Genomic DNA, 19,984 nt, shown 5'->3' with positions numbered 1-19,984 from the left:
GCTGAGATTGTGCCACTGACAGAGCAAGATTCCATCTCAAAAAAAAAAAAAAAAAAAAAAAAAAGTGTCTTTCAGATCCAAAGTTCTATGATTTCATTCTGATCAATTGCACAGAAGCACCTTCTTTCTCTCAAGACAGAAGTTGGTGGTGGGGATCTTATTCGGTTCTTTAGAATATCCACCAGTAATTCTCTGTAGACAGGAGGGTTCCTCCACAATCCTCAGGGGGGATAATTAATTAAGATCAATGACCTCCTGGGGGTTGTGGAAAAGGGCAGAAGCAGTTGCTCTGCCTCCCTGGTGAGGTTTTGGCTCCCTTTCTGGCAGCCAGCTGGGTCTAGTCACAAGGCGATTGCCAGCTTCATCAATCCCCCATGCACCAGCACCACAACCAGCCCGAGCTGGCGTGGAGGGAACCCACAATCCCCCAGGTCAGTTGACTGCACTGCAGCAAAATAGCAGAGGGCTCCACAGGGCCCCAAGCCTGAACCCCGCTCCCCTGCAACCTGCTCAGTTCACCCACCACTGGGGCTGCCCACCAGCTCAGCTCACCCTTCCCTGAGTCACCTGGGCCTGTCCTTGGCCATCATGTCTCCTTCCATACATTGGTGGGGATGGATTCCTGGTCCCCCGCACTGCCTCTTATAACGAAGTCACCCCACTTGCAATCACAGTCGCTGCTTCCTGCTCCTCTGGTCCACCACCACCCTTCGCCAGCTCCAGCTCCTTCAGCCCCTCTCTACTGCCCATACATTTTATGCGGCTCTTTTTTACCACTCAAGCCTCATCTCACACAGTCCCTCCTCAGAGAGGCCTTCCCTGACCCATCACTTGTCACATTACATTATTTTCTTCACTGCCTTTAGTATTACTTGAAATTACTGTGCTTAGGTATTACATCACCTGGTTCCTTCACACTAAAATATACTTTCTATGAGGGCAGGACCCTCCTGTTTTGTTCATTCTTGTGTCCCAGTGCCTCAAATAGAGATGTAGGTGCTCAATAAACGGAGTGAACAAAACCCTTTATTCTCAACATTCCTCATCTATGAAGTGGAGGGGATAATATTTACACCACAATGTAAATATTACAATGAGTTAATATTATGATGCTGCTGTGAGGATTAGAGACAATGTATAATATTTTTGGGGTTTGTCGAAGACCAGGTTCCAATAACTGGGCAATGATGATGGTAATGATAATGATGACACTGAGAGAGGCAGCACCAAGAGACTGGGGGTAAGACTGCAGGCTGCAGAGTCTGAATTTGGCTTTGGCAATTAATTAGCTGTTTGATCTTCAGCAAATAAATTCTCTAAGCCACAGTTTCCTCATCTGTAAAATAGAGATTATAACAGTATCTCTTAGGGCTTTTGTGCAGATTAAATAGGACAATCCATGAAAAGTACCCAGAACAATGTATAGCACATACCATACCCTCAATAAGTGTAAGCTGTTACTGTGCACCAGATACAGGGCTATTCATGTCCCTTATACCTTCCCATCACACACCATGCAGCCTATGAAGCACTTTCCCAGAAATCCTCTTAGTTCATGCTGCTGAATCTTACGATAAAGAGGAATTACCCACTCTACTTTATAGCTGATAAAACTGGTGTTCAGAGAGGTCAAGCAACTTGCCTAAGGTCACACAGTTAACCCGAGGCAGAGGAGCAAAAGCCTTTAATTCAGAAATTCAAACTCTCTTCTTGTCACCACCCCAGGGTTGCTCTCTTGTGCAACCTGCAGCCCCAGAATCTGAGGACACCTTATGAGGCAGTATGGAGAAACTCTGCCATGCTGCTTGAGTACTCCTGCTAAAAATAAACAGGAGCCCTAGGCCTCCACACACGCGTTGAGGCCAACTGTGTTACTCTCAAGCCCGCTCCCTTATAGGACAGTCAAGGGTTTGGCAACACCACAAAGGCAGATGAAGCCTGTGGTTTCCACCAGGAGAGCAGGCCCAAGGTTCTGGTGCTCTCTCAGCTTCAAAACAACATTAAAATAGCCCCACATTAGATGGGAAAAGGTCAGAGCAGGGCGCTGAAGTGGTCACCACAGGCTTTATCAACAGTTTCCAGCTGGCACAGTGTGTTCTCTGGGCATCAGGGTCTTCCCCGTGGATCAGCCCAGCCCAGCCCAGCTCAGTCCAGCCCAGCAGCCCCTCCTGTTTTGGTCCCTGGCCTTGTCTCAGCCTCTGTCCTCAGAAAGGTTTTCAAAGGTGGCCTGACCAGGCCTTGGCAGCTCTCTCTGTACCAGGGGCAATTCAGGAAAGGGGCTCTGTGCGTGAAGTCCGAGAAATCCAAGGGGCTGGATGCAAATGAAGTAACGGGAAAAACAAACTGTGCTCACCAAAAAGAAACTGGCGCCCTGATCAGCCTTTTTAACTCCCAGCAGGAGCAGATTTGTTGTGACTAATGCATCAGGCTTTAAATAGTTTCACGCGGCATACTGATTAGTCCAAGGCACAACAGAGGCAAATGCAAAGTTTCCAAAAAGAAGAAAAGGCTGCCACTCTCAAAAAACACTCATCTGCTGATGGACGCCCACCCTGTTTAATTCCTTAATAAAGCAACAAGGCATAGGGAGCTGGGTGAGAAAGAAAGAACACGGAGCCAATCAGATTCCTGGGGGTTTCAGGTTGACTCTGGTTATTCTTTCCCTCAGTCACCCTTCATGACTGCCCCTTGCGCGCAGTCCAAATTTCTTGGTAATACCTTCTAGACTCTTCATGAACTGGTCCTGTACTGGTCTGAATAATGTCTTGCCAAAAATTCATGTCCTCCTGGAACCTCAGAATATGACCTAATTTGAAACTATGATCTTTACAGATTTAATTAGTTAAAATGAGTTTATCCTGGATTAGGGTGGGTGTAGGGTAAGTGCCCCTTATAGCAATAATTTAAGCATACCCTTAGAATGACCTTGTCTGGCAGAAACACCTGAATGTGCGTTCTGAGCCAGGGAATCCAGACGTAACCAACCCACAGATTCATTCCTTGCCCATGAGGAACATCTGAGCCCCCATCCCGTCCCATAGAACAAGAGCTGTACAGGAGATTGAGGCTCTGAGCTCTAGGTTAAATGAAAGTTGCCACGTGGAGGTCATTAAGGGGAGGCTGTTAAGTGATGTAGAAACTACAGTCTTTTTGAAAGCAGTTGTGATTTTCCTGCCCAGCCAGCCACCACTAGGCTGTGCAGTTATCTTGTCCAGCCTGCTGCCGCTGGACCATTTCTATATGTAAGGTGGTTGTCCTGTCCAGACTGCTGCCACCAGATTCTCTGCCCTGTAGGTAAGTCCCTAATAAAACTCCATATCGTATTTGCTGGCTCTGGGTCTCTTCTTTGGCCTCTAGAACCTGGTGCCTTCCCTACTGAGAATAATAGGAGTTTAGCACAACATTGGGTTGCAAAGCCAAAGACTGGTGTCCTTATAACAAGGCTATGTGAAGATACAGGAGACACGAAGAGAAGAACACCATGTAAAGATGAAGCCAAAGACTGGAGTGATGCATCTACAAACCAAGGAATGCCAAGAATTGCCAGCGACCTTAGAAGCTAAGAGAGAAGCATAGAGCGAGTCCTTCCCCAGAGGCTCTAGAAGGAACCAATCCTGCCAACAACCAGATTTTGGACTTTCATCAGCCTCTAGAGCTGTGAGATAATAAATTTCTGTTGGTTTAAGCCACCAGTTCATGGTATTTTCTTATGGTAGCCATAGGAAACAAATACAGGTCACAACCTACATGTCTAGCCTTTCTTCCATCAAAGTCACCTTCCTCACAGTCCATGCATGGGATGTAGCTCTTACACATTTTAAAAAAATAGAATGACAGAGTTCAGATTTCACCTCCACCATTTTGGCTGCTGTGTGACATTGGGCAAGCCAATTCTCTTATTTTTAGTTGTCTACTCTGTAAAATGAAGATATTAGAAGGACTGTTGTGGTGAGTTGAATGTGAAAATGTACACGTAACAACAGGGAGACTACATTCGCCATCAGAATTTTCTTGGGGAAGACATTGCATTTGTTTGGAAAGTACAGCTAAATCAACCTCTTGCAGAAGAGTGGATCCCAAGGGCCATGATCTGGACACAATGATCTGGATCATTGATCCTGTCGATTAACACAATGGATCTGTAGTTTGCAAGTTGTGGGTGACGGTGGCAAGAGTTGGCTAACAAAGGGTGAGGAATGCAGAGTTCACAGGAAAGAATCCAGGAGAGAAAAGGGCCAGCAAGGAAGTAAGCGAGGGAAGGAGACAGCAACACTCCTCCATACCACGGTAGGCTAAGGGGAGTTCTCTGAGAAAACAGAAACCTCTAATGGATATTTTCAGTTGCTTGCAGTGAAGTATACAAGATGAGCTCAATCCTCCATGTCCTCTACAAAATAACCAGTCAAATCTAAATTGGGTACCAATATTTTTATAATCATGGATTCCTTTGGTTCAAACTTGTAAATGTATTGAGTTTAGAGTCTGGGTTGTTGTCATGGGGTAAAAATGAAGAAAGCCCATGCAGACACATGAGCTGGAGAACCAGGGACCTGAGTGACATCTGGTTTACTCACTTAAGAAAGTTGCCAGCTTACTGCAGGTAGTCTGTAAACATTATAAATAAATGTTTGCTTCAGCCTCAGCCCTCACCTTCCTGACCATGCCTTGCTCCTGCCTAGGCTTGGAATGACTTATCCTCTTCCTTCACCACTTCTTCATCTGTTTGAATCCTACCCAGCCTTCAAGAATCAGCTGCCTCCTGCACGAAGCCTTTACCCACCTTCCCAGCCAGAAAGGATGATCTTCCCTTCTCCCAACTTTGTGCAGTGTGTTCCCATGTAACAGGCACCTTATTCCTTCTGGAGTTAATTAATAAAAAGCAAAGTTAAAAGTCATGCAGAGGAAGATAAGGGAATATCAACTCAGAAAAAAGAGAAAGGCCCAGAAAGAGGTAGGGAAAGGGGAAAAGTTGGGAGGAAGGGCATTGAAAAGCTCAAATGGCCAACTTTTTTCATGGTCATTGTATCCTGGACTAAGCAAAAGGGACAGAGGGGAAAGGCGATATCTCTAGCAAGCCCTTTTGTAAAGTTGAAATTCAAGCATTTCTGTTGACTCTTGAATGTCATTCTGAAATGCAGTGAAAACAATTGCTATGCTGGTAACGTGGTTTCCTGGAAGCTCTCTTATAGTCATGCGGGCATGAATTACCAAAACCTCCACCCACCAAGCTTTCTCCCCACCCTCCCTCTGAGCAAATAAATACACCAATCATGGCCTAAAATGGGCATTAACCTCAAAGCTGGGACAGGTGAGATGCTTTGCCCCACCCGCCAAGGGCTCCTTAAAGGAGCTCTCCATGGGCCTGGAATGAGGAAATAATTCAATTTGCCTATTAGTGGAGAGGGCAGAAGATAATCAGGGGCTGGGTCCACCCCCACCTGTTCTGACTTCAGCAACTGTCCTGGAGCCTGGGCTACTGGGAGCAGGGGACAAAGGAATGAAAGACACATTTGCTGTTCTCAAGGAGGTCCTCGTGCAGGGGGAGACCAATGAGCAGACAAATACAGTATAGTCTGACTAATGCAATGACAGAGTAGCCTGGAGGTTACTGCAACCCAGAGAAGAGAGCCTAAACCCAAAGAGGAACTGCCTGGGCTGAGCCTTAGACAATGAAGAGGAATTCTATGTCTCCAGTCTATGACTTACTACCACAAATATGCATAATGACCCTTCAATTCATCCCCATTTCAGAGATATCAAAATATAAAAAAATGTATGCTTGGGTGGGGGTGGTAAGAAAAAATCTGTGGAAATAAGATAAAGAGGCTTGAGGGGGAAGGGCTATCCAAACAGAGGGAACAGAATATGCAAAGGCCTAGAGGCAAAATCATGGTCAAGATGAAGGTACCATTCTAATAAGTACAAGTGAAGGACTCATGAAGTGGGGAGTGTCTTACTCAGCTTGGACTGCTATAACAGAATACCGTAGACTGGGTGGCCTAAACAAGAAACATTCATTTCTCAGTTCTGGAGGCTGGAAGTCTGAGATCTGGTGCCAGCATGGTTAGGTTCTTGGTAACGGTGTTCCTCCTGATTCACAGGCAGTTGTCTTCTCACTTTATTTTCACATGGTGGAAAGAATGAGTCTAATACCTTCATCTCCTTATAAGAGCAATAATGCCATCATGGGAGCTTCAGCCTCATGACCTCATCTCAACCTCGTTACCTCCCAAAGGCCCCACCTCCAAATACCATCAGATTGGGGATTAAGGCTTCAACATATGAATTTGGGGGAACACAATTCAGTCCATGGCATTGAGTTTACAATGATTGAAGTGAATAACCATGAGAATAACCACTGTTTGTCTAATACTTACCAATGAGAAATCCCCTCATAGTATTATCTGTGATAATATACAACTGGAAACAACATTCCTGTCCAATGGTCAGGAATGAGTTATACAAATCATGGTACCTTCATACAACTACTTTCTGGCTACTAAAAGTGACTGTGTATAAAAATCCTTAATGACATGAAAAGGTGTTCATGATGTACTAAGTTTTTAAAAATATGGGTCACAAAATATACAGATGTTAATTAGTAGGAAAAAAATGACTAAAAGGAAATTGATCAAAATATTCACAATTTTTATCTCAGGGGTGGGATTGCAGGTGATTATTAATCATCCTTTTCCCATCCCTATGGTTGACATTTTCTATAAGATTTTTGAAATGAGAAAGGAAGTTGAGTGTATGTATATGTGCATGGGTATGTAAGAGTGATTATGCATTTACTGCTGGACATGACCCAAGAAATGCAGGAAACAACATCAGTGTGGCCCTCCAGGTGAAAATAAGTGCACAGGTACCCAGGCCAGGGCTCACTGCAGCTTCTCCCATTGCTGGCTGTTCCCTGAGTACCCTCGTGTGGGCTTTGCCAAAGGTCACACTCAGCCTCCACCATTCTCTTACACAGTTTAAATGACACAGGGACAGTCACCTTCCAAGATGGGGATGTAATTAGTTCTTGGGGCCAAAGGTTCCTTCTGAAAATGTTTGATCTATTATCTGTCTGCAAATCAGCACCAACAAATATGACTGTTGGCCTATTTTCAGAGGGACGGTGAGAACATGAAAGAAGAGGCTCCAAGGTGGAAAGAAGATGGTTTTAGACTTTGAAGATCCTACGAGATCACAGAACCAAGGAGAAAGCCCTTTGCCTTTACTGGTGAATGTGTGAGCTAGTAGTTGACCACCTGGGTCAAGTCTAAGAAAGGTGGCATGTGGAGTAGAATACAGCTGAGATTCACTTATTTTCCTATCTAATCCCTCTCTGCTCTCTACTCTGAAGCTACAACAGTGAACAGGGACAGCTCCAACCTTCACAGGGCTTGCATTCCACTGAAAGAGAAGGACAAAAAGCAAATACGTGCTTTGAAAACAGGTAGTGATACATGCTATGAAAATAAAGGAAGAGAGTAGAGAATATTGGGGTGCTAGTTTAGATGGGTTGGTCAAGAAAGAGCACACATACTAAAGAAGTAAAGGAGCAAGCTCGTGTTTATCGGTGGAAAAGCATTTAAGACAGCAGGAACAACAATAACGGCCCTGAGTTGGGAGCATGCTTGAAAAACTTGGAAAACAGTAAGGAAGCTGATGTGGTTGGTGTGGAGTGAGATCTGGGAAAACTTCTGGGGGCATCCTTCTCTAGCTGGCGGGGTACGGTCTCTATAGATATGGGTACCCCACACCTTGCTACCATCCTATGTACCAGACCCCTGGCAGCTGCTTTCTCCTACTCATCATCTCCAGTCTAAGAGTAAATGAGTCACTGAAAACCTGTCCTTGTTGACTAGCAGTATGAGTATTGGTTAAGAGCTCAGACTCCGAAGTCAGAGCCCTGGATAAAAGTCCCAGCTCTGTCACCTCCCTGCTGTGTGCCCTTGGGTAAGCTGCTTAGCTAATATGTAAGCTAAGTGGTGCGCTGGGAAACTGGATCTTCTTTGGGAGGAAAGGGGATAAAGAAATGCTCTGATTTGTAGCATTTGCCAATTTCCATGGTGTAAATACTCTTGCTATAGTCTATTTTTAGCTAGCAACATGATGTCACTGAATGTGAAATTGGGAAGAGATGCACACAACTGGCTCTCAAGAGATAGTACCAGCCAGCCTCAGCATACCATTGCCTCAGTGTCTTCATCTGCAAAATGGATTTCATCTTATAGAGTACCTGGTGGGAATCAGATGAAGCATACATAAAAAGCACTTAGCACAGTGTATAGTATATAGCTAATGCTCCACAAATGAGAGCAGCAATGCCGACTCAATAAGGATCCTGAATTCCTGTGTGGCATTTGTGTATAGAAATGAATTCTCAAAGGGAAAGGGCCAAGAGGAGCCTGGGACCCTATTCTGACTCTGTCTCTGCCTCCTTTTGTGACTGTGCAAGTTGTTTTCCCTCTCTGGTCTTCAGTTACTCTATCTGAAGTGAGAGATAGAACTCAGTATAAAGCCCCTTCCACACGGGACATTCTATAACTTCCTACTTTGGGGAATGCTCTGGAAGCAGCATTAACAGAGTGGGTGAGGGCTCCCAAGGCAGCAGGAAGGTGGGATAGAGTTAGCCATATCTCACTAATATTAAAACTACCTGGACAGAGGTGGCAGATGTGTTCAGAGTCTAGGACAGCAAGCCTGAGTGAGTTCTTTACTGGCAACGGCCAAAGCATTGTTTGAAAGGTCAAGGGAACGACAGAAAAATACCTGGGGAGAAAATGAGACACATGGCAGTTGTGAGAGAAAAAGATGTGTATAAGTGAGAAGGTTTGGGACTGATAGATTTTCAGAAAATGTCTTTAATCAACATTTTAGAAACGAAGGCCATTTCTGCCAAACCTTGCATGTGAAGAGAGAAAAGAATGCAGAGGAGCTGTTGATAAAACTGGGGGTGAGATGAGCATACCAGAAGCAAAAATGGAAAATGAAGGTGAAAATGATCAATGTCCTCTAAGACAATCCTCACCCAGACACAGGCAAGGGAGAGCGAAGAGGTTCGTTAGAGAAATCAAGTAATGCCGAACTTTATGGAATTGAGAACTGACTTTGCAAAGCTGAATTCTTTGTGCTTCCAATGTCCTCATTAGAATCCCTTTGAAGTACATCAGAGTATAATTTTCAAGAGTCAAGAACAAAGCTTCATCTAGCCATTGGCTCAAATGGCCCACCAGCAGAAACAAAGTATCTGAATGCTCTGCTCCCTCAAAGCCATAGACGTGAGGCAGGCCTCTCCGCAGATGACAAACGGCACCAGGAGATTTTGTGGACTTTGCACTTTTATTCGTGAAAGTCTCTAGCCTGAATTCCTTCTCAAGGGGACAAATGAATATCAAGTCTGAATGCTGTGATCCCAGAAATTGCTTCCACTAGCTATTATGGTTTGGAACTCAATTCTCCTCACAAATGAGTAGTTTTCTCAAGCAGCCTGAGAATTCACAGCCCTTCTAAGTCATGACAAGTAGGTAACGTAACCGAATTTCCATCTCGGTAATCCCTGTCCTAACATTTTTGGGTCAGATATTGTTCCCATAAGGAGCTTAATTCAGACGTCTTGACATCCAGGGAAATGAAAGGGGAAGTTAAAGGATGTGTTTCATTCTGACTGAATCTAAACTCTGACAGGTGAGCTTAATTACTGGCTGCCTCTAGCTCCTAATCATCCAGCTTATGATGGAAAGAATAAAGTCATCATAAAAAATAACGACATTTTAGTCAAATTGGGAACAACGTTGCAGCAGCCAGTGACTGGAGTTGTGAATGACAGCCTTGAAGAGGTGAGGAAAATCTGGGAGGGAGATGCCCCCACCTACTCCTCACACCTTGCTTGGTTTCAGCATCTTGAAGGCGCAGTGAGTCCCAGGCCTAAGAAATCAGGAACTGCAAGTACCACATTAACTGTCTATAAACAGTTATCAACAGTAACCTTTAAGCTTATTAAAAAACAAACTGGGAAATGAATCGATCACTGTCAAATGCTCAGTGGGATGCTGCTTCTAAAAATAAGAGTCCATTTGAAATTCTAAGAGCTTCATACAGAGGATGCTTAAACAATCTGCTGGTAAAACTTTAAAGGGTACAAGAAGACCTCTGAATGGCCCAGAAACAACACAAACTGAGAGTTAGAAGCTCCAAGTTTTAACCCTGGCTTTTGCCAGTCACCAGCCTTGTGGTTTGGGCAAGTTCTTCCCTATCTCTGCCTGTCAATATCTTTAATCATGGTCACTCACATCTTTACCTTTCAGCAGCATCATCTGTTTTGGAAACCTGGCTGAGGGATATGCTCATTGTCTTGCAAGCCTGTTTCTCTTTGGTCTGCACCTCTCTGTGAAGTGAGGTGCCTGCACCTTCCCTGCCCCGTTCCTAACAGAGTATTAACACTACCATTCATTGAGTGCTTCCCATGAACCTTTAAGTAAGCATTTTACCCACATCATTACATTTAATACTCATGACAATGTCTACTCATTCATTTAACAGATATGCATTCCTTACTCTGTGCCAGGCACCATGCTAGGCGCCAGGGATTAGGTGGAGAACAAGACAAGCCTGGCCCTTGTCCCTGAGGAGTTTGTGGTGTATGTATTATAACTAGTTTACAGGTAAGGAAAATGAGATTCAAAAAAGATTAAATAGTGAGAAGTAGCAGAGGGAGGATTCAAATCCAGCCTAGATTGTGACACTTCCAGTGGCCTGGCTACATTTCTTTTTCCCTCTCTCATACTCCTTGGAGGTGGGGTCCAGGTCTCTTGTGCCTTCACATCACAGTAAGATGCTTGATAAATAAGAGTGGCTTAATTGAACTCTGCAATCCTTGGTTACCTAATTTGTAAAATGTGGGTAAACAGGTCTGCCTCACTGTCTCCTGGGATGTGAAAATCCCAGGGCACATGCAGGCATCTATAAGGGCCTCTGAACAAGCTGGGAGAATTGACTGTGACTTGCTTTGAAGGAAATCCAATCTCTCTGCCTCCACCAGTCCACTGGTCAGCACTGCCCACAGCCTCAGAGCTGCCTCGTTTGACATCAGAGCCTTCCCCACAAAGCCTGGACAAGGTCTCACTACATGCCCAGCATATCCCACTAATGCCATGCTCAACTGCCCATGTGCTCAGGGTTTCCTGGGCTGCAAACCATCTCCCTACTTGGTTAGCAGGCTCCCCAGGGGCAGCAGACAGAGGCCTAGCAGCCTGGCCAAGTCTTCCAGGTCTCTACCTGGGCCGGAAGCTCCTGGTTTCCAGAAGGGATCACTGTCAGGAGAGAAAATGACACACAGTAGCTCTTTCCTGGAAGGGAAATAACTGCCAAGGGAAAGCATTAAGTAAATAGTGTAGCCCAACTCAGCTTAGTTTTTAGTTTGAAAAACCAAAATAGCTTGAAACCAGATCAATGCTACTGCCTAAAGATAGTCAGGGGGAGCAGAGGACGCCAGGAATGGGACAAAAGCAGATTTGCCTCCCCTGCAAGGGCAAATTGAATGCTGAGTGGTCCAAGCATTGAGACTCAGCCCTAGTCCTAGATCCCTTCCACTCCTGGTTGCTTGGCGATATGCTTCATTCAGCCCTTTCTGACTACTGTCCTGTGTGAGAATGGCATAGTCAGTGTTGACAATGTGTAATGAATTTGACTCCTATATCTGCTGTGTGACTTCAAACTACTGATTCAACCTCTCTAAGCCTCAGGTTTCACAGCTATATATTAGGTATAATTATTCCTACTCCTCCTAATAGTGTTATTAGGAGGTAAAATAATGAGTGGTGAGAAAGTACTTGAGACATAATGAGTGTTCACAACATAAATGTCCAACAATGATAGACTGGATTAAGAAAATGTGGCACATATACACCATGGAATACTATGCAGCCATAAAAAATGATGAGTTCGTGTCCTTTATAGGGACATGGATGAAACTGGAAACCATCATTCTCAGCAAACTATCGCAAGGACAAAAAACCAAATACCGCATGTTCTCACTCATAGGTGGGAATTGAACAATGAGAACACATGGACACAGGAAGGGGAATGTCACACACTGGGGACTGTTGTGGGGTGGGGGGAGGGGAGAGGGATAGATATTAGGAGATATACCTAATGCTAAATGATGAGTTAATGGGTGCAGCACACCAACATGGCACATGTATACATATGTAACTAACCTGCACGTTGTGCACATGTACCCTAAAATTTAAAGTATAGTAATAATAAAATTAAAAAAAGAGTGTTCAATAAAAGGTAGACAGTGATAATCTTCATGTTTTTTTTTAAGCCGGGACAGACATGATGAGAGAATCTTGCAGCCCCTTGCAATCAGGAGTACCAATTTTAGGGGGCATCCTGGACATTATCTTATTAACACTGTGGATGGGGCAATACGAGGTGAATGAGAGCAAGATTCAAAAAGAGAACATGGGGGCATGTGGCAAAGGGGTTAGAAGAATCAGAATGCAGAAATCAGATACAATTTAAATTAAAAAGGAATAAATCCATTTCAAATTGCCCTATCCATAACTACTTATTCAATCCACCTTCTTTTGATCAATCCTCCTTCCATGCCCTTCTAGCGTTCTCCTCATTAATGACAGTAAACATGCTCCATAAATAAAAAGTGTAGTTGAGAGGTAATTAATGCTGGGCAGTCTAATTCTGAATTTCCAATCATGCTCTACTTACATTAAAATAAGATTGGAGGCATGTGTGACAATCAAATTTACTCTAGTTAAAAAAAAACATACAAACGCATACTGAAGTCAGTTACTTGGGGAGAGATTTGGGAACCACGGCTGCAATTAGCTTCCATATGCCACCCAAATATGTTGAGCTCCACTTGTGCACCTGTCAGGATGTGACACTGTCAGCATGTCTTCTGCAATGCCACACATATGAGATGTTCAGGGACAAAGATATATCATGAGATCCAGCAGAACCTAACTGTGCTGGAAGCTGTGAAGTGGGCCGAGGCTGCATTTGACCTGACCCTATGATTCTATTTCTTACTAGCTTTGTGTTTTGGACAAATCACTTCTCTTCTCTGTTTTAGTGTCTTCATTTCCCTAATCTGTAAAATGGGCATAATATTTTAAGAAAATCATGTTGATAAAAATGCTTTGGAAACTGCAGGATTCTGCAGTTGTTAGTAAATACGGTCAGCCCTGATCCCATCCAAATGTTGCCCAGTGCTTTATGTCAGGGGTCCCCAGACCTTGAACCATGGACAAGTACCATTGTATGGCCTGTTAGGAACTGGGCTGCACAGCAGGAGGTGAGTGGTGGGCGAGTGAGCATTACCACCTGAGCTCTGCCTGTCAGATCAGTGGTGGCATTAGATTCTCACAGGAGCGTGAACCCGATTGTGAACTGCACATGCGAGGGATCTAGGTTGCACACTCCTTATGAGAATCTAATGCCTGATGATCTGAGGTGCAAAAGTTTCATCCCGAAACCATATCCTGCATCTCTGTCCATGGAAAAATTGTCTTCCACAAAACTGGGTCTTTGGTGCCAGAAAGGCTGGGGACCACCGCTTTCTGTGATAGCCGGCTACCCCCAAGAAAGATTGTATTTTACACCTTTCCAGTGTCAAAAGCCAGGGGCAGGAATGGTGACAACATGTAGGGAAGCAGGTGTGTGGAGGGCTACTCTGGGGACAAAATCGAGGGCCAACTTACCCATTAGGCAGAGTAGGCACAATGCTTAGGAGCCAAGATAGTTTTAGGGGCCCAAGGAAATGTTGTAATTTGTTTTTTAAACCAGAAGGATGAAATGGATACAATTTAGCCTGGATTATATTTGTCTTTTGCAAATGCAGTCATAAAATAAACACCTGAGCTTTCTGGAGACAATGCCACAGGTCAAGGAATGAATGAGAATTCCAGACACCATGACAGGCGGAAAGGGGAGATTCCTGAGGGGGACAGGATCATGAGCAGTTTCTGGGTGCCTCTGAAATCATGTCTTCTCAGCAACTGTCCCACATGACTACTGGACTCATCTTCCATGTGGAGATCATTTCTACTCCTAGTGCTGGTGACAGTACAACCCTGCTAGAGAGCGATAGGGAATATTTAGTAAAATCTAAAAAGCATGTACTTTGATCCAATAATTATGCTTTCAGGAGTCCACCTATCTTACAGTCCTATATGGGAAACTGTGCAAAAATAGAGGTGTAATCAGCACATTGTTCATGACGGCAAAAAATCAGGATAACCAAAATGCCTACCAGGAGGACAATGGCCATATAATAGTCTACAGTGCAGAGTTAAGAGAAGGCATTTGACATCTATGTCAGGAGATGCCTAAGAGATGATGATGCATGAAAGAAGACCTCTGTAGGATGGTGAGGATGGTGAAATTCCAACTGGAGTAAAGAAAGGATAGATGTATTTGAATATACTTGTTTTTGTACAAATTTTCTGGAATGATGCACAAGAAACTGTTCATAGAGGTGATTTCTGAGACAGTGGGGTGAGGTTGGTTGGAGAAAACATGAGTGTTTTCTATTCCTTTTATACCCATGTCACAAATCTTTAAAAAAAAAATCCACAGATATTACCTTTTAAATTAAAAGTACTGATTGAAGCCATAAGCAGAGAACTAATTATGGGTTTACCACAATTAGTGGTGCTCCTTCCTCCATCCTCAGCCATGTTCCCTAACTCACTGTCTCTCTAAATGGGCCCCACATGAGTGGTGTCAGAACTAAACCTTCTGGAGGTATTTAGGACAGGGAGATGGAAGGAGTGACAGCCAACAGCTGGCACTGGGGAGTGTTTCAATGGGTCTCTGGCAAAGTGTGCCATTGGCATCCTCTACTCTGCACAGTGAAGGCCTGCAACTCATCCCTAGGATAGGCCTTCACTCCAGGTCTCTTTCTGGAAAGTCTTTCACTCTTAAACTACACAAAGGCAAGCCCTAGAGGCAGAAGTATGGGTTTAAAACCAAGCTCCCACTTCACTAAGTGACTGAACCTCTGTAAGCCTCAGTTTCTTCATCTGTAATATGGGAACAATCACACCACACTTCCAGGGCTTCTTTGAGGAAGAGATGAGATAATCTCTGTGAAAACATCTTGTACCTTATCTAACACATATTAGGTGCTCAGTAAACCAACTGTATCTGAGGCCAGTGGAGGGGAAGCATACTACAACCCAAATAGGACTCCTCCTCCGAGTACCTGTGAGATGGGCTTAGCATTAGGGCCTGAGGATTGGGATGACCCTGGCCTGACCCAAACCTTCCATGCCAGTGGGGTAAGTAGACACTCCAGGCTCTTTGGGCTGGACCAGTCCAGACAGCTGCCTGGGCAGGACAGTGAGAAGCTGCCGGGATGACTGCCCAACTCTGAGCACTAGGCTCTTTGTCTATCATCAGAAGGGATGAGCTAATGCTTTGTGTCCAGGTCCAGATACCGTCACATTCCTGGGGCTGGAGAGGTAGCTCTAGGCTAAGCCCAGCACTTTTTTGTGGCCTCGCCTTGGAATTCTGCATCTTGTCCTTCATTGAGACCCAGAATGTTGTCCTTTGGGGAAACCCAGACACAAGCTCCTCATGCCTAGAACTGACAACTGCAGGCACTAGGCATTCCCACCTGAAGCTACACTTGTGTGAGCAGACTGCAGGCAAGACCCAGGAGGGAGAAAGCACCAGGAACTCACAGCACGGGTGGAAGACCCCAGTGCTTCACCCACCCTGGAGATATCCTGGGCCAGCAAAGAGGGAGTAGCTCATATCCATTCCTTCTGCCATCTGTCTTGTTGCTAGGCTTGGGTAGTGGTTGGTTATGCTAGGCCAGACCCCTGACTCCCAAGTTCAGAAGTACTGGCCTCACTTTGGAGCTGCAACAGCTATAACCACCACCTCTCCACCTGTAGGGTCCTTTGCAGTTTATAAAGCCCTTCATAGGAGCCTCACAGTGGCCTTATGAGTAAATGTTGAGGATCTCCACCACATTTTAGATAAGAAACAAGTTCACATAGGTTGTCATTTGTCCAAAATCCCAAATAGGGGGAGTAGAATTTGAACCAAGGCTACACAACTCTCACAGTGCTCTTTCTCCTAAACCCCACTGTTCTTCCTTCTCTAATCTTGGTTTTGCCTTCCGCACTGTGAGCAGGTAGAAGTGGACCTTCAATTCCCAGGATGCTACAAACTTTGACATCTTTAATAAGACACTACAGAAGTCTCCATGCATGTGTTGCTGTGAAACGCCACCAGGTGGCAATAGTAGCCACAGCTTGCCAGGACAGCCACCAAAGTGGACAGGAACATGGGCCTGTCTGCCTGTCTGTGCCTTCCAGGTACAGCAGTGCAGAGCTGCAGCTTCTAATCCACATGTGGACTGGCTTGGACAAGGGCAGAGGTGGCTTTTAGATTTCCTGCCCATCTGTGCATCAGGACTGAAGGATTCCTGCTCCCACTATCTAGAGATGGGCAGAGCTGATACCAGGCTGTGCCCTGGTACAGGGGAACCAGCCCTGTAACCTCCCTGGAACCAGTGCCTCATCCACATAGGCACCAAGCAGAACAAGGAGGCATGAACTGCCAGCCACCAGCTCTTACCTGGAGCGCCTCACGTAGTGGGTAGCAGGCAGTCCATGAGTCTTCCTTGCAAACCACACCCACACCCTTGCCAATCCCAGAGCTAGATGATGACCATGTGTGAAATTTATTCTGGCCTTAAAGTAGCTGTTTATTGGGCACTAACTATGTGCCAGACTCTGTGTTAAGTGCCTTGCACTTGTCTTCTTTAATTCTCACAAAGAATGTATGAGGCAAGTACTTTTATCACCCTTGTTTTACAGATGAGGAAATTGAGACTGAAAGAGGTTAAGTAACTAGCCCAAAGTTACAGGAGGTAGGAAGTGGTAGAGCCAGTATTTGACCCCAAGTCCCGATGACTGCTGAGTCCATGGTCTTCCAAAAATGTTTGGTTGGGCTGGAGTATAAGGGGCTCAGGAGGGGTGAAGGGGAGAACAGGTGTATGACAAGGTGCTCAACATCACTAATCATCAGGAAAAGGCAAATGAAAACTATAGTGAGATGCAGATATTACCTTACACCTGTTAGGATGGCTATCATCCAAAAAAAGTCAAAAGATAACAAGTGTTGGCAAGGATGTGGAGAAAAGGTAACCCCTGAACACTGTTTTTGGGAAAGCAGGCATTATGAAAAATAGCATGGAGGTTCCTCAAGAAATTAAAAGTGGAAATGCCGTATGACCCAGCAATCCCCCTTCTGGGTATATACCCAAAGGGAATGAAGTCAGCACCTCATAGACATATCTGCACTCCCCTATTTGTTGCAGCATTATTTGCAATTGCTAAGATATGGAAACAACATAAATGTCTATCAACGGATAAATGGATAAATAAATTGTGATATATATATATATATATATATATATATATATATATATATACACACACACACATGATACATACATACACAATGAAATATTATTCAACTTTTACAAAGAAGGAAATCATGCCATTTGCATCAACATGGATGAAACTGCAGGACATTAGGCTAAGTGAAATAAGCCCAGACACAGAAAGAAAAATACCGCATGATCTCTCTTATATGTGGAATCTTTAAAAAAAAAAAAAAAAGAAAGAAAGAAAGAAAGCCAGGCTCATAGAAGCAGAGAGTAGAACAGTTGTTACCTGAAGTGGGGGAGGGAAGTGGGGGAAAGAATGGGGAGATATAGAACAAAGGGGACAAAGTTGAAGTTCTGTGGGATAAATAAATCTAGAGATCTAAAGTGCAGCATGAGGACTATAGTTAATATTATATTGTATGCTGAAAATTTTCTAAGAGAGTAGGTTTTAAGTACTCTTACCACACACATAAAGATACTTATATGAGATGATGGACATATGAAATTGCTTCCCTGTAGTAATCATTTCACTATGTACAAGTATATGAAAACAGATTGTACATCTTAAATTTATACAATTAAAAATTAAAAAATAAAATCTGTAAGGGGGAGGCTAAGGCCATTTAGGAGACAGCCTTGATGTCAGAAAAGGTTACATTCCCATCTTTGAAAATGGTGCCATTGCAGGATCTAAACTCCTCTCACTTGATCTCTTGCTACAATCTCACATCCCTTCTACTGATAAGTCACCCAGACTGTTGGCTGCTATTGGAAGCAGCAGGAAGAAGAGGTTAGGAGTGTGGGCTCTTGGGCTCTAAGACCATAATACCTGGGTTACTAGCTGGGTGATCTGGAATGTGGCTGTGAGCTCTTTGCATCAGCTTCCTCATCTGCAAATGTAGATGATAACAATAGTAATAGTGTCTACCTTATAGGCTTTTTGTGAGGACTGGAGAAAACAATATATGTCACATGCTGATAACATGCCCGAGATACAGTAAGCACTCAATAAATGTTTGCTATTATTGCTGACTGGGCTACCAAAGGAAGTATTGTTTCTAGTTCAATTCCCCCATTGTACTCTTCCCCTCTGCAAAATATCAGTAAATCTCCTTGCCTGAATATGTCTCCTGTGTTCTTTTTATTTTTATTTTTATTTTTTTTTAGTATTTATTGATCATTCTTGGGTGTTTCTCAGAGAGGGGGATGTGGCAGGGTCACAGGATAATAGTGGAGAGAAGGTCAGCAGATAAACACGTGAACAAAGGTCTCTGTTTTCCTAGGCAGAGGTCCCTGTGGCCTTCGGCAGTGTTTGTGTCCCTGGGTACTTGAGATTAGGGAGTGGTGATGACTCTTAAGGAGCATGCTGCCTTCAAGCATCTGTTTAACAAAGCACATCTTGCACTGCCCTTAATCCATTTAACCCTGAGTTGACACAGCACACGTTTCATCCCCATGTCTTTGCCCACAATGTCCCCTTTACCTGGAATGCCACCTACCTACTTCTTTTGAATAAACCCCTTCACACTTCAGGGCCCATCATGAATAAGTACAGTTTGCCCTGGGTCTGTTCCTTGTATGTTTTACTGTCCGGAGATCCCTTCCAGCATGTCACAGGGTACTTTGTTTCTAGTAGATGCCTCCAAAGTGCGCAGTACAAAGGATTCCCCATCAAGCTCCCAGTGGCTGCCCTCCAGGGGGAGCCTGCTCGGAGTACGAATAAACAGGGAGAACCTTCCTTTCCCTCTCCAAGGAGAGGATAATACAGTTTCCCCTCCACTGTCCTCTTCAGATCTACTGTGAAATTTAAATTCATGAAAGCTGGGTTCTGAGCCTAAAAGCAAACACCAGGGCCCTCTTAGAAGTTCCTCCATCCAGCTTGGCCGAAGTCTGGAGCTGCCAGCCGCTGCTTCCTTCTTCAGAGGGCAAAATAAAGCATTTTTTCCTTAGGACACTACCAGTCTCCTCTGTTTCCATCACTGACTCCAGCAAAAGAGAGGTTTAGCTAGGGATTATAAACTCAAATTCCCATAGGGGCCAAGAAGCTGACCAGGTATAAGACATATGAGCATGGTGGATACTGTGGCTAACAGAGAACACTCTCTAAAATCATTTTTAAAAATTTTCTAAACCAATGTGCCAGATAAGCAAATGTCTCCACAGACCTGATTCAGTCTGAGGGCCATCAGCTACACCCCTCAGCTTAAAAATTCGCTACTGACCCTGAAAACAGGGGGATTCAGGGTCCCCAGCGTGACCTCTGAAGTAACAATTAAGGGGGACAGACCTGAGTTTACATCTCTGCTCTGTCATTTCCTGTGTGACCTTGGGCATCTAGCCCTCTCTTTACTCATTTCTCATCATTAAAATGCAAATAAAATGAGAATGCTCTAGGTTGCTACGATGATTAACTGAGAATATGAAGAGAGTAACACAGAATCTAGTATATATGAATGTTCAATAAATGATTTTAAATTTTACTGACCAAGTTGGGAGGATTACAAGGGAAGTGTGTAAGAGTTGTCTATGTATCTTCTTTTCTTTTTTTGACAGAGGGTC

General features: G+C 44.2%; 1 protein-coding gene across 38 annotated transcripts in view, besides 2 other annotated features; it reads right to left on the bottom strand.

Annotated features, from left to right (window-relative positions):
* Positions 1-19,984, bottom strand: part of NAV2 (neuron navigator 2) — a 776,366-nt gene that overhangs the window by 362,447 nt on the left and 393,935 nt on the right. The window lies entirely within an intron of this gene.
* Positions 1,588-2,140: an enhancer, noted in NCBI's record as "H3K4me1 hESC enhancer chr11:19778561-19779113 (GRCh37/hg19 assembly coordinates)". NCBI's record gives its function as "activates a minimal SCP1, AML or CMV promoter by ChIP-STARR-seq in primed H9 embryonic stem cells {active_cell/tissue: H9 hESC(primed)}" and the evidence as "EXISTENCE:reporter gene assay evidence [ECO:0000049][PMID:30033119]".
* Positions 11,237-11,738: an enhancer, noted in NCBI's record as "H3K27ac hESC enhancer chr11:19768963-19769464 (GRCh37/hg19 assembly coordinates)". NCBI's record gives its function as "activates a minimal SCP1, AML or CMV promoter by ChIP-STARR-seq in primed H9 embryonic stem cells {active_cell/tissue: H9 hESC(primed)}" and the evidence as "EXISTENCE:reporter gene assay evidence [ECO:0000049][PMID:30033119]".

The sequence above is a fragment of the Homo sapiens genome, chromosome 11, assembly GCF_000001405.40.
Source record: "Homo sapiens chromosome 11, GRCh38.p14 Primary Assembly".
Lineage (NCBI taxonomy): Eukaryota > Metazoa > Chordata > Mammalia > Primates > Hominidae > Homo > Homo sapiens.
The sequence above is the reverse complement of the archived record's forward strand: the minus strand, read 5'-3'. Positions and strand labels throughout refer to the sequence as shown.